The following is a 27,478-nucleotide window of genomic DNA, read 5'->3' as shown; positions in this document are numbered from 1 at the left end:
TCAACTAAATAGTAAATACTACATCAACTAAATACTCTCCGTTGTGATATCTAGCCACCTACCTTATAAATTGCATAAATTAAATACAGAAGTACTTCTAAAAATCATGCAAAGCATATGTGTTTCCTTAGATAGACATCCTTGGCCAGTCTCTTTATATTTGTACCCAGAAATTGTTCATACATATAAAATGTAAATCACAGTATTATAAAAGTTTTCCCTAGCACATAGAACCCTTTTGTGTCACACTACAAAGTAAAAAGAAGTAGTGGTCTACCTAAAATATAGTACATGCTATCTTTAAATCATCACAGAATATGAGAGAACTCAACCCATGACATTATCAAAACGTCAGCCCTTTCCCTTTCCCAAGTGATCAACAAATCTTGTCTGTGTTAGAACATACTTAAGAATTCCTAGACTAATCCTCATGATTTCTCATCTAATCAGTCTTACCTGTGATTATACCAAGACCCAATTTCTAGTTATTAGATCCCCTTATTCTTTGAAATATTATTCCCCTACTTCTACCCTTGTAGATAACAGCTTTTCAGATATTATCTAGAGTGTTGGTTTCTTTCAACTAGATTTGAGTTTATTTATTAAACTTATTCTTTCTTCTGCTTCATAATTCAAGTATCCTTTTTAGTCCTTGTATTTTACATGCTCATGATTTCTTTGAAAATATTATTCTTTTAAAACAAAACTCTCAAGGTATATCTTTGGTTATCTTCATTTTTCTTCTTTTTAAAAGTAATAATAATAATAAACTCAAGGAATGAACTTAACTCCAAATAAGTATCCCTCCTGTCAAAAACTGAGAAGATCTGAGATTTACCGTTCTTGCAGGCTAACGTGGTTGCCTGCCACAATTTCATGTTTGCTGGCAAACAGGCCTGAGCCAAGAGACAATGGATTTTCTTAATCATGGCCAGTAAGCAACATGAGCATCAGCATATTTGCATCCTAGCCCACAAGCCTCACAGGGCAACACAGATGAGCCCGCATGAATGCCTGCCTACACACACAGTAGACTCATTAAAGGAGAGAAACACTGAGGTTTTGGCCTCAAGATGTCTTCCTTCATGAGGAAGCTCCAGAGGTGATTCTGAAAGACAGAGGTAAGTACAGTCCTTTCTTTACCTATGCTTTCAAGGGTCTCCTAGCACTAAGATTGTTATCCTTCTGCCATGACAAAATTCAGCTGTCCTAGTCCCTAGCTTTCGATACAACTTTTTCCCAATCATTTTTCATTCAAATCCAGCCATTTAATTAGATCTCAGTTTAATGCAAGATCATCTTTAGGTTCAAGGAAGATCATCTTCTAGCCTAAAAGTGATCTTTCTTTAACCTAATGAAGAAAGTATGCAGAAACCAATTATGTCTCTCACTTTGGCCCATATGTTCCACTACAGGGGGAATCAACGAGCAATACATTCAACCAAATAGTCAATACCCATATGGTCTGTGACTAAGCCAATCTAACAAGAGAATCTTAGTGTCTGAACCAGAATCAAATGTGAGTTATTTAGACCCTCGTGGACAGGCTTTCACCCAGAGGAACTAGGTTGCCTGGGGTTGCTGTTAGGAAAATGAAATAAGTACCATGGCCAGGAATAATCAGGGGGGGATTCCCAAAGTTTCAACATAGATCTACATAACCCCTTCCCTTTCATTCTGATCATTATCCAGAAGTGGCTAGGAGGAGATAACTTCTTTCTGAGAATAGTCACATTGAGTCAGCAAACTGCCTTGTTAAGTAGAAGGTAGAGTTAGAAAACTTTTTAAGTCAGTTTTTAAGGAGGCTATTTCAACTATTAACAATATCATATGATAAGGAGCATTGAAAGTCCACTAATTACTTGAGTTATCCATTGTCGGATTGCAAATGATCCAGAAATCTGAAAATATAACATAGGTTAGTTTCGAAGGCCATGATGGTATGACTAGAGTCATTTGGGTCAGACTACAAGGACAAAGCAATAAGCAAAAAAAGTAAAAATGGCAGCAAGACATCACTGATAACCAGCATGGGGTCAAAGATCCATGAAGTCAAACTGTCACAAGTTGGCACAGACAATGCCCTGTGCCATACAGCCTCTCTCCGTGAGAGACAATTAGGTCAAACTTTATCAGGGGTCACAAGTATGAGTTCAGTGGCAGCCTCTGCATCATAACTATGCAGACTGTAATGTGCCCATTCTACTTTAATTGTGGAAGTGTTGCCATGTTCAGCACAATGATGAATCTTTGTAGCAACATTGGGAATCTGGGTGACGCAGGATCAATCAACAGATTGATTGCAGTTAGTCTCATTAGAAAACAAGCCTTAACCATGGGCATTTATATGAGTAATCCAGAAAATTAATCAGCAACCTTTGTTTTCACAGTTCATGGCCTCAAAATGGGTGTTTTTTATTCATCGCTTATAGTTTTCCAAGTGGCAGACTAAAGAGCTGGATTCAGTAAAAATATACTGAAGTTTATCAAAGGGAGCATTGGCCAAATCTATGAGAATGACTTTCTATACTGCCTACAAAGTAAAATGCCCGTGACTGGTTTTAATCCTGCATAGTTAGTGTTAACATTGAATATCTGCACAACCCAGAGGATACTGTCAGCTTCCAACTTTGCTCAATCATCAGTGAATTAGGCCTAGCATTTAGGGGAACTTCTGTGATTCAACGGCCCCACTGAGATAGCAGCTTGCTTTGCTTCAGACAGCAAGGTTGGGGATAAGGTTCCCATGAAGAGATAGCTGCTACTTTTTCATATAAAAGAGAGACATTGCTAGGGCCAGGCCAGCTGCATTTTTTAATATGTTACTGCATTAGAAGACAGACTTATTAGACCCTTCCCACCTTGTTAGTCATGGCAACTGAATTAACCACCCAAAAACGTATTATCAGACCAGAGAGTTATAAGGTAGGTCTGGATTAGACATTCAGTTTTGACAAAAGCCTAATAGCAAGGTAATAGCTAAGCTTTGTCATGCAGGCAAGAAGTTCCAAACCCCAAAGGGAGCCTCCAGAAAGGTATTTATTCCCTTTGCCAGTGGCTCTAACTAGCAAAATCATTAGTCACAGAAACTTGTGCCTCAAAAGCATCATTAGAGCTGTAGATCCCTGAGGGTATTAGCTCTTTTCTATATACAGTTTTCCAAATTGGTATAATCTATTATGACACTTACAGGACAGGGAACTATAAGTATATAACACTTCATTTCCTACTATACATTCTGAGGTGTAAACAACAACAGTACACTGATTTAGCCCAAAGAGCTGCACCCATAGGGTCGCACTAGCTTCTCTTTCCCACTCTAAACCTTCCCCACAGCCTATTGGTTGAATCTAGGCACTCTTTCACCTATTAAACTAGATAGAATATAACTTGGTTATTAATGTGCTAGATAACAGAGTAATAAAAGTTTAAGTATCCTCATTTCCCGGTAACATCTCAGTACACTTGAATAGGTGCATAGTGACTTTGCCCCAGTATACTCATAGAGTTGTATATGGACTTTATTCCCCTTGGGTATAGGGGAATCAGAGCCACCTTTAATCATCTTTCTCCTAGTAGCTAAGGTCAAGGCACAGGAATGAATTGGAGGTGGCAAATGGAAACCTTTTTTTAGAACCATTTCAAACTGTTTCACTGTAAAAGTAATATAGGGTAAACATCTTATGGGATATACTTGCAAAAGAATGTTTATTTGGTTTAAGATAAAAAAGATTTTAGGAGTTTAGAAGATGATACAAAGAGCTTTAACAATACAAGCTTTGTAGTAATACACTAGAGATTCTGGCATAGAGTAGGTTATAGATTCAAAGACTAGACAAATAAATAACAAATAATAAAATTACATGTATTATCTATTATTATGTTACATCAAAAACAGGTAGTCTCACATAGATCAGTGGAATAAAATAAAGAACCCAGAAATAAAGTGACATATTACAACCAACTGATCTTTGACAAAGTCACAAAAATAGACACTGAGGAAAGGAAACCTTATTTCAATACCTGGTACTGGGGAAATTGAATCTTCACATGCAAAACAATAAAACTGGACCCATACCTCTCACCAGATATGAAAATTAACTCAAGATGGATTAATGACCTAAATGTAAGACACGCAAGTATAAAAATCTTAGAAGAAAATCTAGGAAAAGCTCTTCTGTACATTGGCCTAGGCAGAGAATATATGAATACCTCAAAAACAAATGCAGCAAAAACAAAAACAGACAAATGCAACTTAATTAAACTAAGAAGCTTCTGCACAGTAAAAGAAATAGTCACCAGAATAAACAGACAACCTACAGAATGGGAAAAAAAATTTGCATACCCTGTATCTAATAAATGGCTAATATCCAGAATCTGTGAGGAACTCAAACAGCTCAACAAGAAAAACAAAACAAAACAAAAACATGAAAAAGGGGGCAAAGGACACAAACAGGCAGTTTTCAAAAGAAGACATACAAGTGACCAAAAAACATATGAAAAAAATGTTCAACCTGAGTAATTGTGAGAGAAATGCAAATTAAAACCACAATGAAATACCATTGTATACCAGTCAGAATGGCTATTATTAAAAAGTCAAAAAACAACAGATGTTGTTGAAGATGAAGAGAATATGAAACACTTATACAGTGCTAGTGGGAATGTAAATTAGTACAACTTCTATGGAAAATGGCATGGAGATTACTCAGAGAATTAAATTATAACTACCAGTTGATTCAGCAATCTCACTACTGGGTATCAAATCAAAGGTAAAGAAATCATTATTTAAAAAGATACTTGCACTCATGTGTTTATCACAACACTATTCACAAGTGCTAGTTATGGAATCAACCTAAATGTCCATCAAAAAAGAATTGAATAAAGAAAATGTATATATAGGCTGGGTACTGTGGCCCATGCATGTAATCCCAACACTTTGTGGGGGCCGAGGAGGGCAGATCACTTGAGGTCAAGAGTTCGAGACCAGCCTGGACAACATGGTGAAACCCCATCTCTACTAAAAACACAAAAATTAGCTGGGCATGGTGGCGTGCACCTGTAATCCCAGCTTCTCTGGAGGAGGCTGAGGCAGGAGAATTGCTTGAACCTGGAAGGCGGAAGTTGCAGTGAGCCAAGAACGTGATACTGAACTCCAGCCTGGGTGCCAGAGCAAGACGCCATCTGAAAAAAAAAATTAATTTAAAAGAAAATGTATATTTACACACACGTAATGGTGTGTGTGTGTATATATATATATATGTATATATACACACACATACATATACATGTAATGGTATATATATACATATATACACACATTTAATGGTGTATATATACATACACATGTAATAGTATATGTGTATGTAATACTACTCAGCCATAAAAATGAATAAATTTATGTCTTTTGCAGCAACATGGATGAAACTGGAGGCCATTATCCTAAGTGCCATCACTCAGAAAAAGAAAGTCAAATACCACATATTCTTGCTTATAAGTGAGAGCTAAACAATTGGTACACATGTGCCTACAGAGGGGAATAATAGACATTAGAGGCTACAAAAGGTGGGAGGGTGGGAGGAGGGTGAAGGTTGAAAAATTACTTGTTTGGTAGAATGTTCACTGTTCTGCTGAGGGGTACACTAAAAGGCCAGACTTCACCACTATACAATACGAGCATGTAAGAAATATGCACTTGTACCCCTTAAATATATAAAAATTTAAAAAAATGTAGTCTCTGTGTAGCATTAGATTTGAATTTTTACTTCTTTTAAAGCAGGAAACCACACATAACTTTGATAAACTGGAGAGTTGCTTTATAGCACCTACGTTTAAGGATGAAGTTACATCTAGCTATTCCTTCACTAGAACAACTGCTTAAAAACTACTTAGCCAGCATTAAAACCCACTCAAGTGATCTACAGATAGTTCACAAATCTCCCTAAACCAATATGTCCCCCGACACCTCAACCCCCGAGACTGCAAAAAAACAGAAGAAGGAAAGAAGGGAGGGAGGGTTTAGGTTTACAAAAATCCTTTTAATGTAAAACATTCTCATCTACAATAATTTCATTTATGCATATCAACCCCTAAAGATAAGCAAACTGAGTGAAGGTTAAAATACAAAGAGAAAGAGCAAAACATTGATTGATTGATTGATTGATTGATCTGTTTATACTGCTTGTGTTAAGGTAAAAATAGTATGAGTGTAAAAGGTAGCATAATCTTCTCATTACTTCTACCACTTTGGCAAAATTGGTGTGACAGAAAAGAACAAAGAAAGGATTGTGTACATAGCATGAATTTTGGCTTTATGAATAAAAGTCTATTAGCTTTATAGAAATAGCTGTGTAGGTGTATTCAAGAGAATTGAACTATGTTCACATAAAAAGAAATGGTGAATGGTGTTTTTCTAAATGCGAAACTATGCAGAATCCTGCTTTGCAATACCAGGAAATCTGCAAGGGGAGTGCTGAGATCAATGTCATTATCCAGAAGGCATTACTGAAATAGAGTTTAAATCCTTTGATGTAATTGCTTGCTGAGTTTGCCATTACTGCAGCTCTATCCCTTTGACTGATTGAAGGCCTTTAACAGCCCCAGTTTTACTGAGACTGCCAACATACTCATGTTGGAATCTTAAAGTTAGACAGATGTTTGATGTTTAATTTAACTAATATGGCACACCATGAGTCAACAAAACACATTTTGTGTTAATGCCAAAAAAAAAAAAAAAATTAAAAGGTGAGGGACAGGAATACGTGCAGAGTTAATCTTTCTGTTTCAGCAGAGAAGCCTTTGCTTTAGAATTATTAACACGAATTCTGATTTGAAAACCCTATGGCATTTTCCCTGCCCCTTGAGAAAAGCAGTCTTGATTCCACTGGAGCATTTAGAACCAGAACTCAATGAATAAATTAACAGTGCATAAAATCCTCAAATGAAGTGTAAAGAGCAATGAGGTGATTTTTTTTTTCATTTAGACAGTCCCTATTTTCCATGATTCCTTGAATAATTCCAGTTGTTTGTAATGCCTCTCTTTTTTTTTTTTTTTTTGACAATCTACAACAAAATAGCTTGTCTTTAGGTTTTCTCTCTTGCTCAAGAAAGAAGAATTTGGCCCTAAGGAGAGAATTTTATTCATATTTTCATTATGTATTGTGGTTAATATAAAACAAACAAACAAACTATATTCAGCACCTTCTAGTAGAAGATATTTCTCCCTCTCAAAAAAGAAAAAATGGTGGCTATATATTTTGTTTAAGAATATGGCTAATGCTAATAGCTTCTTTAATTAATATTATTTTCCTAACATCATTTTGAGGAAAAAAGCCTGAAGATTACTTTTTAATGTGATTTTAGCTAAAGCAAGACTGTCTCAATCCCTTGGCCTTTTCGACCTCAGTTTTACAGTTTTACAGTAATAATACAGTTGTACAGAAATAATATATACTGGTTGTAAGGCAGGTAGTGGTAGCAGTGGTTATAGAATTTGAAACCACATAACTTGCAGTGTATTTTTACCAATATTATATTTTGGCTTTTGTGACAACTTTATGACCTAGGTAGAGGATCTATCATTATCCCATTGTATAAATAATGAAACCGAGGCCAGAAAATTTTGGTGACTTTTTAACCACTATAAAGTAACAACTTTAGGTCACCAGGAGGTCATCAAATTTAGGTCATCTGTGACTGGCCTTATTCAGTCTCCAGCTCCTCTAGAAGTCAAACTGATACCATATGGCCAAAAACTCCCTACCAAAAAGCACATTGTTAGCATAAACTATCTGGCATGGCCCAAGACTCCAGGTAACACACTGATATGGTTTGAGTCTGTATCCACACCCAAATCTTATGTTGAATTTTAATCCCTAGTGTTGGAGATGGGGCCTGGTAGGAGGTGATTTAGTCATGGAAATGAGTTTCCCCCTTTTGGTACTATAGTTGTGATAGAGTTCTCAAGAGATCTGATCACTTAAAAGTGTGTAGCACATCCCCCTCTCTCTGTTCCTCCTGCTCCATGTGAAGATGCCTGCTCTGGCTTTGCCTTCTGACATGAGTAAAAGCTCCTTGAGGACCCTCCAGCCATGCTTTCTATATAGCCTGCAGAACCGTGAGCTAATTAAATCTCTGTTTTGTAAATTACCCAGTCTCAGGTATTTTTTTATAGCAGTGCAAGGATGGACCAAGGCACAAAGACATCCTCATCAAGCCAGATATTCCAAGGGCTTAGAAGTTATTTCCCAGGAGCTGGTCAAGGGCCAAAACTTTCTTTGGAATGTGTAGGGTTGGTACAATCCAGACATGCTCACTAATCCTTACCCCTAATTAGTTTGTACATTACATTTCTAATAATGTTTTCAAAATATACCTTCCATTCTAATTAAAAATGACACAGGGCAGAGATGATTTTTTTAAAAAGCCAGTTTTGCTTGACAAAAGTGCTTAGAAGTTTAAAGTACTAGAAATCATGGATTGAAAAGATGAATCATGAAAATAATATAGGATAAGAGAAATAAAGAATAGAGTCATTTCTCAGTTTGTGTCTTTTTAATTATATTCTTTTGATATTTGGGGGATAATAGGTTTTTTTGAACCTAGGAAGTAGCAACTTTATTATATTTCTCTAAATTCTGCTTGATTGATGAGTAGTTCCTTTTTTATTATTTCTCTATATCCATAACTTATCATAGGTGGCTTTAAAAAAAATTGACATTTTCAACCTTCTGCTTAGCAATTTTCTTAACCAACTATGGCATTTTGTTAGGCATAATTTTATTTTTGCAACATTACTGCAGTCAATAGTTTTGCCAGACTTTCAGGCCACTACATAATGGGCATCCTCTCTTTTCTCCAGACTTCAGTTACAAAATCTCGCCGTCATCAGCCTTCACTGAGTCTCCTAAGACACTCTCAACTACTGCTCTCCTACTGGTCCCAAAACAATGCCACGTTATAGTTTTTGTTATGGTAACACTTCAACTTCTGGTGCTAATTTCTATTCAGATTAGCTTTTGTTGCATAATAAACCAGCTCAAGACTTGGTGTCATAAAGCAATTTATTATTACTCCTGGTTCTGTATATTGACTCCAGTTGGTTGAGTGGTTCTAGCTTGGAATTTATTATGCAGTTGTGGTTAAATGCTTGCTGGGGCTACAGTCATCTGAAATCTGACTGGGCTGAATGTTAAAGATTGCTTATTCCCATAATGGAAATTAATGCTATCTATGAGATGGAAACTCATTGAGGCCTGTGTTATGGATTGAATGTTTGTGTCCCCCAAAGTATATGTATGGAAGCCCTAACCACCAACATGATGGTATTTGGAGATGGATGCTTTGGGAGATCATTATACTTAGATGATTTCATGAGGGTAGGGCCCTGGGTAGTATGGGATCATTACCCCCAGAAGTGACACCTGAGTGCTTTCTTTCTTTCTCTTTCTGTTATAAATAAAGTTTCAGTGCTGCAAGTCTCAGCAAGGCAAGGTACTTCTATAGAAGTGTGTGCCCTTACAGATGAAGCAATGGTGAGCGCACACTTGGACAAGGGAGGGAAAGAGGTTCTTACCCTGACGCATGTGGGCCCTGCTGCTGTGTCGTTCCCCTATTGGCTAGCGTTAGACCACACAGGCTAAACTAATTCCGACTGGCTAATTTAAAGAGAGTGACGGGGTGAGTGGTTTGGCGGGAAAAATGCTTATGCAGGGTGGAGAATGAGTCAGGGTGGAGCACATAGCAGATAATCGGAATGAGTTAGGGTGCAGAAGGTAACAGGAATGAGTCAGGGTGGAGTAGATGATTGAAATGAGTCAGGGTGGAGCAGGTAATCAAAAAAGGTTGCTTTATGAGGAAGTTTAAAAGTAGAAGGCGAAGAATTGAACATACTGACATATTGATTCTTTGAAAAGAAATTTAGAACTCATATCTAACACTCTCCCTCTCTTTTTCCTCTCTCTCTCTTTCCTCTCCCTCTCTCTTCTCTCTCTCTCTCTCTCCTTTCTCTCTTTCCTCTCTCTCTCTTTCCTCTCTTTCTCTCTCTTTCCTCTCTCTCTCTTTCCTCTCTTTCTCTCTCTTTCCTCTCTCTCTCTTTCCTCTCTTTCTCTCTCTTTCCTCTCTCTCTCTCTCCCTGCAAGGTGAAGACACAGTGAGAGGTGGCCTTTGCAAGCCAGGAAGAGAGCTTTCAACAGAACCCAACCATACAGGCACCTTGATCTCAGATTTCCAGCCTCCAGAACTATGAGAAAATAAATTTATTTTATTTAAGCCAACTAGTCTATGGTATTTTGTTATGCAATCCTGAGCAGACTAATAACAGGCTGTCACCTAGAGCACCTGTACATGGACTATCCGTGTAATTTGGACTTCTCACACCATGATATCTTGTGGGGAAAAGAAAGAGAGATCAGACTGTTACTGTGTCTATGTAGAAAGAAGTAGACATAAGAGACTCCATTTTGTTCTGTACTAAGAAAAATTCTGCCTTGAGATGCTGTTAATCTGTAACCCTACCCCCAACCCTGTGCTCGCAGAGACTTGTGCTGTGTTGACTCAAGGTTTAATGGATTTAGGGCCATGCAGGATGTGCTTTGTTAAACAAATGCTTGAAGGCAGTATGCTTGTTAAAAGTCATCACCACTCTCTAATCTCAAGTACCCAGGGACACAATACACTGCGGAAGGCCACAGGGACTTCTGCCTAGGAAAGCCAGGTATTGTCCAAGGCTTCCCCCCTGTGATAGTCTGAGATATGGCCTCGTGGGAAGGGAAAGACCTGACGGTCCCCCAGCCTGACACCCTTAAAGGGTCTGTGCAGAGGAGGATTAGTAAAAGAGGAAGGCCTCTTTGCAGTTGAGATAAGAGGAAGGCATCTGTCTCTTGCTCATCCCTGGGCAATGGAATGTCTCGGTGTAAAACCCAATTGTATGTTCCATCTACTAAGATAGGAGAAAACCGCCTTAAGGCTGGAGGTGAGACAGGCTGGCGGCAATACTGCTCTTTAATGCACCAGAGATGTTTATGTGTGTACACATCAAAGCACAGCACCTTTTCTAACCTTGTTTTTGACACAGAGACATTTGTTCACATGTTTTCCTGCTGACCCTCTCCCCACTATTACCCTATTGTCCTGCCACATCCCCCTCTCTGAGATGGTAGAGATAATGATCAATAAATATTGAGGGAACTCATAGACCGGTGCCTGCATGGGTCTTCCATATGCTGAGCGTGGGTCCCCTGGGCCCACTTTTCTTTCTCTATACTTTGTCTCTGTGTCTCTTTCTTTTCTCAGTCTCTCGTCTGACCTGACGAGAAACACCCACAGGTGTGGAGGGGCAGGCCACCCCTTCAATATCTGGGCTTCCAGAGGGAGCAACTCAAAAGCAAAAATTCCAAGAGGATCAGGGAGAAACTATAATAAGGTTTCTTATGACTTAGTGTCAGAAGTCCCATCCCAGATTCATGAGAGGAAGTGAAAATTAGGCCTCCTACAGATTTAAGAAGCAGAATGTACTTAGAGAGAAGAAATTGTTGGCAGCCATCTTGAAAATGAGCTACCACACTTGGCATCTGTGATGTGGGAATCCATTTTTATTCATTCTCTGGTCTTGGGTGACCTAATTCAGATAAATCTGAGTAACTCCATGATCAGGTATAGGACATAATGCAATGTGTTCTTATGAGATCGGGCAATGGCGAGTTTTGATTAAGGATAAAGAATCAGGTTTAACTGATTTTTCTTCTAAATAGTATATCGAAGAACATTTTTAAAACATGCGTCATATTCACTATTTAGCTTAAGTTTTAGGGTGTTTAGTGCTGTAATATTATCAACAGACTCTATTTCCCATTTTGGTTTAAATACTGTCAGGGGAATCAGAAGTTGTCTCAGTGTCCCATTATTCCATAATGTTTGCTTTTATTTTAGGAAAGTTATCTCTAAATACTAATTTTAATAACAAGGGCTAAAAAAAAACTCTACTTTTAAAAGAAAATGTTTCATTTTACCATTTTATTATTATTCTAAAATGTTATTAATATTCAATAATAATTTTCAAGAAAAGGATTGAGCAGCAGGTCTACAATCCTTTTTGTTTTTCCTGGTGATTGGTGACATTGTAGTAGGAGGACACACCCACAAAGTAATTTTTACTTGCTCGAGGAAAGGTTCTTACCTGTGAATGCTCAGTTCTCTAGAATTCTTTATAGTAAACAAATCTAGCATGTATGGATAATGGTTTCCTGGAAAATATTTTATGTGCAAAGTAACTATCTGTATATAAAATGGAAATGTTTCATGACAGAAGAGGCTCTCTTCTGTGTAAATATTGTATCCCATGTGTATTACTTAGAGACATCACATGCTAAGCTAAGGAGAGAAAGGGACTAGAAATCTGCATTGACAGGATATCTCCCTTCTTTATCTGTACCTCGGGATTACTTGTATCCTTGCAATTGTCAGTAAATTTACTATTGGGTAATATCTTTGATTTCTGTCGAGTACAGCTTGACAATCTGATCCTTTGCATTACCTCAATTATAACATGAACTACCACTTATTGACTGACAGTAGTTCAGTTCAATCTGTTAAAGAATGGTGAAAATATTACTTAATATTTAACAAAAGACAAAGCTCAATTAGTTACTTAGCATATTGAGACAGAGCTAGACCCCTCAGGCACAATGTTCTTTGAGCAGAGAAGACTGCTGATCTTATTCAGGGTTTTGGGAAACACAAAGTGCACTAATGTTTAAAATTCCTAAGGCTTAAGTGGGCTTTTACCCTATATGGAAGCATGGTTGTCGGATTGAGATACTTGTTAATTGGCTGCCATGTTTATTGAAGGAAGTATGTTTCTGATTGCCTGGCTTTCCAAAGCATGGACTATCAATGATTTGTTGACTTTCAGAAGCATATTCACTGAGAAGAATTGGTAGTGATTAACTAAATGCATTTAAACTGTTTCTGGCAGTTATTTGTTACCATGGCTCCAGAAGAGCCTGTCTTTCCCTTGGAGTGTGGGGTCAGTTTTAATTCTCCACTCAAAAAAGAGGGAAGGAAGGAAGTAATCCTACATTTGGGGTTCTGTACCTTGGACGTACGCATTTGCAGGTATCTTTCTGAAACCTATACATTCACCCACGAATGCTATAGCAGGGGTTCAGTGATGTACCTCAAGCCATTCCTAGATGTACCTCCAAATATTAAATATACACATATATTTATTGTATATTTTTATACAAGTAAGATAGCCAACTACCATAGCAATGCCCCCTTAAAAAATGAGTTGCTGAATATAAGGAACGTTGAAGCATTTAAAGTGTTAGAACTGACTCAAGAGATGAATGCATAATTGAAATTCAACCTGCCACAAAAGAAGCATTGAATTTTACAAGAAACGTGAGAGAACTTAACATCTGTAAGTAAACAATTTGCTAAGTAAACAATTCTACTGAAAATGTTTAGTGCTCATTAGGGTGGGTGCTAATCCAATATGACTAGTGTCTTTAAAAAAAGGGGTAATTTGGACACAGAGACAGACATGCTATAGGGAGAATGCCATGTGAAGATGAGTACAGAGATTAGGGTACTTTTACAAGCCAAATAATTCCAGAGATTGCCAGCAAACCACCATAAATTGGGGTAGTGGTGAGAAAGAGATTCTTGGAACAGATTACTGCACACAGCTCTCAGAAGGAACCAACCCTACTGACACCTTTATTTCAGACTTCCAGCCTGCAGAACTGTGATACAATAAATTTTACAGTTTAAGTCACCCAATTTGTGGTACTTTATTACAGCAGACCTTGCAAATTGTATATCAAAATATAAACAAATTAACAAAGTCTTCCACCTAAAAATCTTCCTTTAACTATTTAATGATAATGAAATCTCACCCCAGGAGTTTCATTCATTTAAATCCAGAATGATGTTACTATTTCTAAACCAATGGCTAAGGAATGGAAATAATTCAAACTATGATAATTTACATATGCTATAAAGCAAACAATTTTCATCTTCTTTCTTGTGAAAAAAATGTGTTTTTTAAAAAAAAATTATTAAGCCCAGAAATGAGAAGTTTATTAGTGTATGGTCCATTGCAAATGCAGATTCAAATTAATTTCACAAAACTTGCTTAATTAAGTCTCACGTTCAAGCCAAGAGACAGAAGCTGTAGGTATGGTTGTATAGTATGGATGTTGTCCCCTCTAAATTGCATTTTGAATTGTACTCCCCAATGTTGCAGGTGGGGTCTGGGGGGAGGTGATTAGATCACGGGGGCAGATTTCTCATGAATAGTCTAGCACCATTCCCTTGGTCCTGTCTTTGCAGTAGCGAGTTCTCATGAGGCCTAGTTGTTGAAAATTGTGTGGCACCTCCTCCAACATCAAATTATTCCTGCTCTTACTATGTGATAGGCTGGCTCCCCCTTTGCCTTCTGCCATAATTATAAGCTTCCTGAGGTCTCACAAGAAGCCAAACAGATGCTCAGTGCCATGTTTTCTGTACTGCCTGCAGAATCATGAGCCAGCTAAAACATTTTTCTTTATAAATTACCCAGTCTCAGGTATTTCTATTGCATTTAGCAATGCAAGAATGGCATAACACAGAAAATTGATATCAAGGAGTGGGGTGTTGCTATAAAGGCACTTAAAAATGTGAAAGCAACTTTGGAACTGGGTAGCAGACAGAGGTTGGAAGAGTTTTGAGGGCTCAGAAGAAGACAGGAAGATGAGGGAAAGTTTGGAATTTCTTACATACTGGCTAAATGATTGTGACCAAAATGCTGATAGTGATATGGACAGTGAAGTCCAGACTGACAAGGTATCAAATGCAAATAAGAAATTTTTTGGAAACTAGAGCAAAGGTCATCCTTGTTATGCCTTAGCAAAAAACTTGGCTGTACTGGGTCCAGACCCTAGGGAATCTGTGGAAGTTTGAACTTCTGACTCACAACCTAATGTGTCTGGCAGAGGAAATTCTAAGTGGCAAAATGTTCAAGAAGTGATATAGCTGCTTCCAACAGTTTTTACTCAGACGCACGAGCAAAGAAATGACTTAAAGTTGGAATTTATATTTAAAGGAAAAGCAAAGTGTGAAAGTTTTGATACTTTGTAACATGGCCACGTGGTAGAAAAGAAGAGCCCATTTTTCAGGGGAAGAATCCAAGTGGGCTGAGGAGCAACCACTTGATAGAGAGATTTACATAACTAAAAAGCCAAGTGCTAATAGCCAAGACAATGGGGAAAAAGGCCTTGAAGACATTTCAGAGATCTTCAGGGAAGCCCCTCCCATCACAGGCCAAAGGCCTAGGAGGAAAGAATGGTTTCATGGGCCAGGCCCAGGTCCCTGTTGCCCAGCACAGTCTCAGGTATTTCTTTATAGCAATATGGGAACAGCCAAACACATGTGGTATACCACTAAGTTTTGTATGTTAATACAAAACATTTTAGAAGTACACAATTAAAATACCTTCAAATAAATACAAACAGATATATAAATACAAGATGAAAGAATAGAGTTCACTATTTCATGTCTTTTAGAATATTTGTCAGTGATCTTTGGGGATTGGTAAGTGAGTGTGAGTCTGTGTGTGTGTGTGTTTGTGTGTGTATCAGGGAAAGAAATAATATGTCTCTGACATAGAGTTTTTCCAAAGCCCTTTTATCAAACCTATTATCATAGAGTGTTAAGGCTCTTCAAACCTATTGACATAGAATTGATTGTTGGCATCCTCATTGCAGTCACAGTCAAGCTTTTGACTACTCGTAATTTATTTCATTTAAATGGAGATTTAAGATAAAAAATTATGTGCCAGAATTATGAGTAAACTAATTTTCTAGTGTAGTTCTATGACTAAATTATTTGATTTATAGTAAGAAATGTCTTGACTACATGTTAGAGCCTCATTTTAAATTTAACTGTCCAGAGAATTTATTTTGTGTCAGGATTAGAAAACACTATACTGTCATTTAAACATAATTGAATGAACTTTTTTTCCTATATTCAAAGGTATATATTTAAAAGCTTCTATGCCAGGAGATTTTTATATTATTTAAAGTGTTTCTTTTATTCTCATTTACATTAACTGAAATTGTAAAACCTTGGCTTATTAAGGGTAGATATACACTGTTTGCTTCCATGTACATGATTTAAGCCAACTCACATAATTTTCAGGATCTTTCTCTCTCTGCTTTAATTTATTTATAATGACACTTTATATTTGCTTTTATTTCTCCATGCTGTGAACTTAAGAGAAGAAACAACACTCTAGACAATAAGGCAGTTACACTTACAGAGATTGGACAATAATAAATACTGGGAAGGCCATTTTTACAATAAACTCCTAACTGGTCCCTCTGCTTCCATTCTTGGCTTTTCAATCAATTCTCAACACAATGGTCAGAGTGACCCTGTAAAAACAAAAGTGAGGTCTTGCCACTAATATGACCCATCCAATTAGCTTTCCATCTCACTCAAAGTAGGAGTCAAAGTAATTACAGTGACCTAAGGGCCCTATATTGGTTGTCACCCGTGCCCTACTCCATTACCTTTCTACTTTCATCTTCTACTGTTGTTTCCCATCTCACTCCATTCCAGCTACACTGACTTTTTGATTGCTCATTTTATTCACCAGATACACTCTCACAGCATGGCCTTTGCATGTGCTGTTTCCTCTCCCTTAAATGTTCTTTTTCATCCACTCATTCAATCTCTCATTTAATTATGTTTATTTATCACTTCTTTATGACATAAGAACTTTTTAGGATCTGGGGATAAAACACTGAACAAAACATTCAAAAATCTCTTTCTTCATGGAGGTTATGTTCTAATGGGATTAGAAAACAAGATTATACACACACATGCACACACACACGCAATGCACATGCACACAAACACCCATATATATGAGAGAGATTATTCTAGACAGTGGTATGTATGAAGAAGAAATAGATTTAAAAAGGAATGGAAGACAGAAAAAAGAAATGAAGAAGGCCTGGAGAAATGTCAGAGTGATCAACTTCTACGAGTCTCTTAAATGTAACAATTTCATTTAAAGCCTTCTCTACACTATTTAATATTGACATCACCATCCCCAAAACATGCACGCATGCATGCACATGCACACACACACACACACACCCCAGTACTATTCATACCTCTTCCCTGAATTATTTTATTCTCTATCGTTTATTACTAACACAGTTAAATTTTTTTCATTTCCTGAGTCTTGTTACCACAATATAATCCCTGTGAAGTGAGAGAGTTCTGAGTATTTTGTCCACTGTTCTATATACCACAACCTAGAGCAAGCCCTGGTTCATGGTAGACGGTCAATAAATATTTGTTGAATAGATGGATGTCCAAATCAAGGAAATATTAAGATAAGATTGAGGAGCAGAAATTACAACATCAAACTGCAGGGTTCAGAGTAATAAATAGAAAACAGTTGATAGAGAAATTACATGATGAACAGTGTGGTCATAGAGCCCAGACCATTATAGGCAGATTTATCACTCCCTATGCATGAGTTACCCTCTCTTTCTTTCCAATGCACTTTAAAGTTCTTTTTCTCCATGGTATTCCAGGAGTACCCACAGCAAACAAATACCAAGGGACTTAAAATATTAAAGGGGCATTTTCACATAAGATTACCTTTGATATGCTTGGAATGAGCATAATTGATATACATCTCCACGGCAATTAAATATACGAAGGATAGGATGACCTTACATGAAGTCCTCCAGGTTCAAATGGCAGAGGTGATAATCCTGGTCAAGCGACAGAGATACACACTTACACTTTAATGATAATTGAATCTTTAGTGTCTTCAGAGGAAGATATATGGCAAATCAGAGACCAATATTTAAATCTTTCTCTGCCTTTTATGTACTCACTTTTTATTCAGTTGATGCCTTAAAATTAATTGAGAGTGCTACACAAACAGGGCATCTTCACACATGTAAGTAAAGCTAGAAACATTTTAGATTAGTATTCAGAGCTATGGATTTATGGAGAGTTTAATTTTAAATTTTAAGTGCCTTACCTTAAGACTATCATAATTATTCTAATAATTAATTGAAAATATTATTTCTTTTTCTACGTTCAGAGTGATTCAGACATTTTTAAACCTATTCAAATGATATTTGTGCACCAGTGTTCACTTAGGGAAGGTTTATTAGGAATATACCTCAATAAAACTAAAATATAAAATAAAATATTTAAATAACTGAAATACATTCAAAATTTTCTGCTCACAAAGTAATTTCCAATTTTTTTCACATTTTAGAAAAGTTCATGTATTTGAGATGTTGAGGCAAAGCATACATTGCTGCATTGTCGAAATCAAATCAGCATTACAACTACCTTCTTCTAGGATTTTCTCTGTGCACCCTAAGGGGGAAGCTAAGAACTACATTCTCTAGAATTTCTGTCTCCATATAGTTCCAGGTTAGAGCCTATCAAGAGACATAAGATTTGCAAAAACTAAAATCAGAAAAGGTCATTATTTTTCAGGGACAGTTGCTGGCAGATGAATGGGAAGACATGATATTTGAAGCAACTCTCAGTTGAGCTCCTTGAGAATCACTGACATCAGTGTGGCAGACTAAGATAGACTTGTCCAACCTTAACACCCCCAGCCCTTTCAATTATAATGTAATCATATAATTTTATATTCTCCTTCATACTTAAATACACAGAGTGACTTTGGTCTCCTTGGCTGAACATTAACTTTGAAAAAAGTATAAATTTACAGATAATTCCAAGAAAAAAAATCTTCCAGTGCTAAATTTTGTGTTTATCTGTTATAATGCCACATACTATTAACAAACTACACAGCAAGAGAATATTTAATAAAATGCTGCATTAACAAAAATGTCAGTAATTCTTGAGCTCCAATTAGATATAATGAACTTCAATATATTAAAATGCTACAAAATTGAAGTTTAAAATGAAATGAAATTAAACTTGCCCTCTTGCCCTAGCAAATATAAAACTGGACAAAATACATGAGACAAGCATTTCCAGGCACAAGAAAACAAGCAAGGTGGGGAGGTGATTCTTGAGACAAAGAAAATTAGAAAATTTAATAGATCAGATTCCTGTTTTCCTTGGAAACTTTTTTTTTCTTTGGCCAGATGACTTTCTGCATCAAAGCACAAAGAAGTGAAACTCAAACAAAGCACAGTAGACAGGCTGAGCTGAGGAGGCAAACAGTGGTGCACAGCCTTCTTAGGAGGCTTAAAATTGTGGTGAAGATTGTCAACAAGAGGTAGAAGCAAAAAGAGGGTGACTAGAAGTCTGTATCTCGCAAGTTGTTTTTGTTGTTCTTGTTTTCTTTTTTTTTTTTTTTTTTTGAGACAGAGTCTTGCTGTCTCCCAGGCTGGAGTGCAATGGCATAATCTCGGCTCACTGCAAACTCCGCCTCCCAGGTTGAAGCCATTCTCCCACCTCAGCCTCCTGAATAGCTGGGATTACAGGCATGCACCACCACGCCCAGGTAATTTTTTGTATCTTTAGTAGAGACGGGGTTTCACCATGTTGGCCAGGCTGGTCTCGAACTCCTGACCTCATGATTCCCCCCGCCTCAGCCTCCCAAAGTGCTAGGATTACAGGCGTGAGCCACTGCACCCGGCCCACAAGTTTTTTACAAAGGACTGGGCTGTGCAAGTTCTTTGTCAAGATTATATGAATAACAAGGCTTAATCATAGAACTGTACAGCTGATAGCTAACAATATATACAATGAAAATGATTATGCAGTTCAGAGTGCTTGGAAACTTTGCAGTGAAGCCCGAGTACTCAATTGAGATCCTCAAAAAGGCCATGCCTTAAGAGTAACAACTATGACCTAAACTTAGAGCCATACCCTGTGACTAAGGTCAAAACTTAAAGAGACCACAAATAATAAGAAAAGAAGCCAAGCCTGACAAGATTAGAAAGACCCACAAGTAATTTATCTGGTTTCCAGGAAAACAAACAAATAAATATCATTTAGAGGGCAATTAATCAAGACCCCCTACAATAAACCATTTAAAATGTTTATCATATAATTAAAATGACTAGCTATATGAAGAAGTAGGACAATGTGACACATAATCAAGAAAACAGGCAATTAGTAGAAAGACGACGCAGATATGGCAATCAGCAGACAAGGACTATAAAATAACTTTTAGAAACATGTTAAAGAATTTAAACTAAAAGACAGGATGATAACATCAGCAAGTTGGCTGACTAGAGGTGCCTAGCACGTGTTCTCCCAACAAAATAGTACCAAAATAGCTAATAAACAGCTATATCTTGATTAAAATATCTGAGGGAGAATGCTGGAGTGCAGCAGGAGAATGGCAGAGACATTGTGGAACATGAAGATTCAGGATGGCTGCTTAGAGAAAGGAGCAAAGCACCACCCTGCTCCCACCTCATCTCTCCCGTCAGCTTGGAGCCAGGAAGGACTTCACTGTGTGGGGAGAAGATAATCAGGAGCCCCCAGGATCCCCCATTAATGCTGTGAATCCTTGCAATCTCTGCTGCTGGAGAATCCTGCATCTCTTATAGCCCTAAGCCTGTTTTAGGTTGCTGCAAGAAGCTCTCCTTGCTGCATTGTTTTAGAGAAGGAGCCCACATTGTGCTTGCTGCCCTGCAATGACCCAAAGAGCTGCCATAAGGCACCATTTCAAAACTGCAACCACAGCTAGAATGTGTCCTGCTCTGAAGACCAGTAGCAATTGTATCTTTCTGAACTTGAGGCTCTACTCCCATTACATCATGCTCACAGCTGATAGCTCAGCATTCCCAAGCTCAGCTGCTACAGCTCTCTAACCCTTGAGAGAAACCTAGGAGGTGCTCTATATTTCCTATTCCAAGGGATACAGCACGATGATCCTGGCCACTCAGAGACTAGATTCATGGAACAGCTGTTGCCTCGGTGCCCTACCCCCAGGGGAGCAGTGTCCAAGCAAAGCCACCAGCTGATCAGATCCTCAGTTCCTTGGAATGCAGACCGGACTGGCACCATTTCCCAGGGAAGCACTTGCCTAAGCCAAACCACAGGCTGATCAGCTCTGTGCTTAACGGAACACAGACCCCCCAGTGCCCTTCACCCAGGGAAGCAGTGCTCAAATCCAGCTACAGGTTGACAAGCTGCTCACTTTCTCTAAAAGTGGACCAGGCCTGTGCACCAACCTCAGGGGAGCAGTAACCAAGCTGAGCTACCAGTTGATCTTCCCTGCACTTCCCCCGCTCTGCACTGCCCCCAGGGAAGTAGTGCTTGATCTGAGCCACTCGCTGATGAATTCTGCACTTCCACAGAGCAAGGACCAGCTCACCAACCTGTGCCCAGGGTAGCAGAGCCCAAAAGACAAACCAGCAACAAAAATCTCTGCAGACTAAGCCACTGAAGCACTTATAGCCATTACATGATGTTATCAATAGCTAAAGAAACTGCACAGACAATACTGCTGCAACCAACAAGAACAAAGCCAACACACCCTACCCAACTGACACCCTCAGCCAAATCTACCCATGAAAGTCCTTTCCCACAAAAGCCAGTCTACAAAACTGGGGTACTGTTCCATCAGATGCACAAATATCAACACACGAGTACAAGAAACATGAAAAAGCAAAGAAATATGACATCACTAAGAAGAATAATTTTCCAGTAACTGACCTAAAAAAACTGAAATTTACAAACTGCTTGAAAATGAATTTAAAATAGTCATCCTAAGGAAACTTAGATAACAAGAGAATGCAGATAAATAATTCAACAAAATCAGGAAAAGAATTTATGATATTAATAGAAATTCAATAAAGAGATAGATATCACTAAAAAGAACCAAAGAGAAATATTGGAGCTGAAGAAGTCAATGCATAAAATAAAAAAATATATAATTGAGAGCTTCATCAACAAACTATATGATACAGGAGAAAGAATTTCTGAACTTGAAAAGAGGTCTTGTGAAATAACCCAGTGAAACAAAAGAAAAGAAAAATGAATGAATAACTCCTACAGGACTTATGGGACAAAATTAAGTGATCAAACTTTTGCATTATGGAATTTGTGTTACGGACATTGCATTATGCAGGAGAAGAAATGGGAAGGGCACAGAAATAACCTATTTAATAAAATAATAACTGAAAACTTCCCAAGTCTTGGGAGGCATATGAACATCCAGATTAAAGAAGCTCAAAACTCCCTAAATAGTTTCAACTCAAAAAGGTACTCTATAGGGGAAGTTATACTCAAACTGTAAAAGTAAAAGACAAAGAAAGTATTCTAAAAACAGCAAGAGAAAAGCATCAAGTCACATATAAGAAAATCCTCATCAGACTAACAACAGATTTCTCAGCAGAAACATTACAGGCCAGAAGAGAATGAGATGATATATTCAAATTGCTGAAAGAAAAACAAAGCTGTCAGCTAAAAATACTACACTCAGAAAGTCATCCTTCAGAAATGAAGAAGAAAGACATTATTTCCCAGACAAACAAAAACTTAAAAATTCGTCTACACTAGACTGGCTTTACAGGGAATACTAAAAAGAGTCCTATATCCAGAAGTAATAGGGCAATAACTACTGTCACAAAAACGTACAAAAGCATAAAACTCACTAATAGAGCAGATATACAAATGAAAAAGAGAAAAGAATAAAATTCTATCATTACAGAAAACCAAAACATCAAAAAGATAAACAATAAGAAACTATAAAAAACAACTAGGAAACAAATAACAAAATTACAGGAGTAGATCCTCGTTTATCAATAATAATCTTGAATATGTACAGAATAAATTTCCTATTTAAAGATCAAAATTGGCTGAATTAAAAAAAACTCAGCTATATGCCACCTACAAGAAAATTATTCACTTGTGAAGACACACACAAATTGAAAGTGAAGGGATGAAAAAGATACTCCACACAAATGCAAAGCAAAAATGAGCAGGAGGCTATACTTATACCAGATAAAGTAGACTTTGTCAAAAACTGTAATGAAACAAAGAAGGCCTATATAATGATGAATGAATCAATTCAGCAATAAGGTATAATAATTATAAATATATATGCACCTGATGTTGGAGCACCCAGATGTATAAAACAAATGTTATTAGGTCTAAAGGGGGAGATAGATCCTGCTTTAATATGTGGGGACTTCAATATCCCACTTATCATACTGGAAAAAAATTATCTGAAGGGAAAATTAATAAGAAAATATTGGACTTAAACTGCATTATAGACCAAATAAACTCAACAGGTATTTACAGAACTTTTCACCCAACAAAGACAGAATGGACATTCTTCTCATCAGCACATGGAACATTCTCCAGAACAAACAATATTCTAACCACAAAACAAGTCTCCACAAATTAAAAATAATCAAAATCATATGAAGTATCTTTTTGTGATTACAATGGAATAAAGGTAGAAATCAATAACAAGAGGAACTTTGGAAACTGTACATATACCTGGATTTTAAGCAATTTGTGCCTGGATGACCAATGGGTTGAAATGTAAATTAAGAAGAAAATTTAAACATTTATTGAAGCAAATGAAAATAGAAAAGAAAAAGCATAACAAAACCTATGAGATACAGCAAAAGCAGTACTAACTGCAAACTTAATAACAATAAACGCCAACATCAAAAAGTGGAAAGATTTCAAATAAATAATCTAATGATTCATTTCAGGGAACTAGAAAAGCAAGAACAAAGAAAATCCAAAATTAGTAAAAGGAAATAAATAATAAAGATTGAAGCAGAAATAAAGTACTAACTAAAAAATAAAAGACAATTAAACAAAAAGTTGTTTTTTAAAGGAGATAAGCAAAATCAACAAACAATTAGCTAAGAAAAAAAGAGAGAAAACCCAAATAAATAAAATCATAAGTAAAAAGGGGACATTACAACTGATACCAAAGAAATACACAGGATCATTTGAGACTACTATGGACAACTGTACACCAACAAATTAGAAAACCTAGAGGAAGTAGATAAATTCCTAGAAACATACAACCTACCAAGATTCAAACAGGAAGACTAGAAAACCTGAACAGAACAATAATAAGAGTTGAAATTGAAGCAGTAATAAAAAGTCTCCCAACAAAGAAGAACAGGATTTGATGACATCACTGATGAATTCTACGAAACATTTAAAAAAGAGCTAACACAAATTCTCAAACTATTCCAAAAAATTAAAGGTATGAAAATTATTCCAAACTCACTCTATTAGGCCGGCATTACTCCAATATCAAAACCAGACAAGGAAACAACACAGAAAGAAAACTACAGGCCAATAACCCTGATAAACATAGATTCAAAAATCATCAACAAATAATAGCAAACTGAATCCAACAGCACATCAAAAATAGTATATCCCATGATCAAATGGGATTTGTCTTAGGAATGTAAGGTTCATTCAACAATGCAAATCAATAAACATGATACATCTCATCAACAGAATGAAGGAGAAACATTATATAATCATCGCAATTGATGCAAACAAAGCATTTGATAAAAACAAACATATTCATAATAAAAACCCTCAACAAGTTAGGTATAGAAGTAATGTACCTCAAAACAATAAAGACCATATATGACAAACCCACAGCCAAATACATGCTAAAAGAAATTGAAAGTTTTCCCACTGAGAACTGAAGCAAGAAAACAATGGCCACCTTTACCTCTCTTAGTCAACATAGTACGGAGAGTCTTAGCTAATACAGTTAGGCAAGAGAAGGAAAGAAAAGGCAACTAAATCGGAAACGAGTACGTGCAATTGTCCCTGTTTACAGATGACATAATCTTATATATCATAAAACATAAAGATTTTCCCAAAAAACTTTTAGAACTGATAAATTTAGTAAAGTTGCAGAATACAAAGTCAACACACAAAAGTCAGTAGTGTTTCTATAAACCAGTAACAAACTAGCTAAAAAATAAATTAAGAAAGCAAACCTATTTACAGTCTAGAAAAAAAGTGTAGAAATTAATTTAACCAAAGAGGTAAAAGATCTCTATGAGGAAAACTATAAACCATTGATGAATAAAATTGAAGAAGACATACCAACAGAAAAAGGAAAGACATACCACATTCATAGATTTGAAGAATAAATATTGTTAAAATGACCATACTACCCAAAGTGATCTAAAAATTCAGTGCAAGCCCTAAAAAACTTCCAATGGCATTCTTCACAGAAATAGAATAAATAATTCTAAAACTTGGATGGAGTCACAAAAGATCCCAAATATCAAAATGTTCTTTAGCCAAAAAATAAAGCTGGAGGCATCACACTACTTGACTTCAAAATATACTACAAAGCTATAGTAACCAATGCATCATAATACTGGCATTAAAAAAATACATTGATCAATGAAACAGAATAAAGAATCCAGAAATAAACCAATTTATTTATAACCAGCTGATTTTCTTCAAGGGTGCCAAGAACATACATGAGGGACAGGACAGTTTCTTCAATGAATGGTGCTGGGAAAATTCGATATTCATATGCAGAAGGATGAAACTAGACCCCTCTCTCTCACTATACACACACAAAAACACCTCAAAATGGACAAAAGACCTAAATGTAAGATCCAAAACTGTGAAAGTACTACATGAAAATATAGGGGACATGCTTCAGGATGTTGATTTGGATCAAGATTTTATGGTTAATACCTGAACAGCACAGGCAACAAAAGGAAAAATAGACAAATGAGATTATATCAAACTAAAAAGCTTCTGTACAGAAAAGACACCATCAACAGAGTGAGGAGACAACCAGAAGAATGGGAGAAAATGTTTTCAAACTATTCATCCAATAAGAAATCAACATCCAGAATAGACAGGTAATTCAAATAACTCAAAAGCAAAAAGACAAATGATTTAACTTAAACATAGGCAAAAGATCTAAATAGACATTTCTCCGAAGATGACATTCAAATTGTAACATAAGTAAATGCTCAACACCACTAATCACTAGGGAAATGCAAATGAAAATCAAAATAAGATATCATCTCATCGCAGTTATAATGGCTATTATCAAAAAGACAAAAAATAACAAATACTGGCAAGGATGCAGACATTTAAAAAAAGTCATATGCATTCTTGGAAATGTAAATTAGTCAGCCATTATGGGTAGCAGTACAGAGGCTCCTCAAAAAGCTAAAAATAGAACTACCAAGTGATCCAGCAATCCCACTATTAAATATGTATCCAAAGGAAAGGATAACTGCACATATCGTCTATTCCAGTAATATTCACAGTAGCCAAATAAGAAATCAGCCTAAGTGTCTATCAGCAGATGAAATGATAAAGAAAATGTGGTATATATACACAATGGAATACTATTCGACCATAAAAAATAATGAAATCTTGTCATTCATGGCAATGTGCGTGAGACTGGAGGACACTATGTTAAATGAAACAAGTCAGGCACACAAAAATAAATACCACATGGTCTCATGCATATGTGAGATCTAAAAGTGTTGATATAGAAGTAAAGAGAAGAATAGTGGATACTAGAGGTTAATAGTAGGTGTGAGGAGAGTATAGGAAGAAGTTGATTAACACATAAAAAATTACAGCTAGATAAGAGGAATATGTTCTACTGTTCTATAGCCCTGTAGGGTAACTATATTCAACAATAATTTATTGTAATTTTTCAAGAGAGGATTTTGAATATTACCCACACAAAGAAATAATAAATGTTTGAGGTGATGGATATGCTAATTATCCTGATTTTGTATGCATGTATTAAAATATCACACTGTACTCCAAAACTATGAACAAATTTTGTGTGAATTAAATATATATATTATATAGAGAAATGAATACAATGATTGAATAGAGAGAAATCTCTGAAGAGAAATGTAATTTATAAAAACAAAACAAATAGAAATTATAAAACTGAAAAGTATCTTAGTTAAAGTAAAACACTCACTATAAAATTGAAAATGCAGAAGAAAAGGCTGGTAAACTTGAAAAGAAATTACTAGAAATTAGCCAATCTAAAAATCAGAGAGAATATAATAACTGAAAGGTAACAGAGACTTAGTAACATGTGAGAAATATCAGGTATATAATACATGTATAACTGAATTTCCAGAAGAACAGGAGAAAACTACTTTGTTAGGAAAAAATATTTTTGAAGAAATAATGGCTGAGGATTTTTTCAGGTTTGATTAAAACTATCATCTTATACATACAAGAAGCTTAGCAAACTTCAAGCAGAATAATTAAAAATATGTTCTTTTCAAAAGTGAATACTTTGACAAATTTAGAAGAACTAACATCTTAAAATATTGATACTAAGTTTGCTAATCTATGAATATGGTATTTCTTCCCATTTATTTAGGTCTTTATTTCATTTCAGATATGTTTTAAAGTTTTCAGTGTAGAAGATTTGCCCAACATTTGTTAAATGTATTGCTAACTATTTTATGTTTGATGATGGTACTGTAAATTTTCATTTGAAATGATTAGCTGCTAA

At 36.3% G+C, this 27,478-nt stretch overlaps 1 long non-coding RNA gene across 1 annotated transcript in view, besides 1 other annotated feature; it reads right to left on the bottom strand.

Moving 5' to 3' along the window:
- LOC107986324 (uncharacterized) overlaps positions 1–27,478 on the bottom strand; it is a 487,144-nt gene that overhangs the window by 39,631 nt on the left and 420,035 nt on the right. The window lies entirely within an intron of this gene.
- Positions 10,286–11,068: an enhancer, noted in NCBI's record as "OCT4-NANOG-H3K27ac-H3K4me1 hESC enhancer chr4:160897920-160898702 (GRCh37/hg19 assembly coordinates)". NCBI's record gives its function as "activates a minimal SCP1, AML or CMV promoter by ChIP-STARR-seq in naive and primed H9 embryonic stem cells {active_cell/tissue: H9 hESC(naive and primed)}" and the evidence as "EXISTENCE:reporter gene assay evidence [ECO:0000049][PMID:30033119]".

The sequence above is a fragment of the Homo sapiens genome, chromosome 4, assembly GCF_000001405.40.
Source record: "Homo sapiens chromosome 4, GRCh38.p14 Primary Assembly".
NCBI lineage: Eukaryota > Metazoa > Chordata > Mammalia > Primates > Hominidae > Homo > Homo sapiens.
The sequence above is the reverse complement of the archived record's forward strand: the minus strand, read 5'-3'. Positions and strand labels throughout refer to the sequence as shown.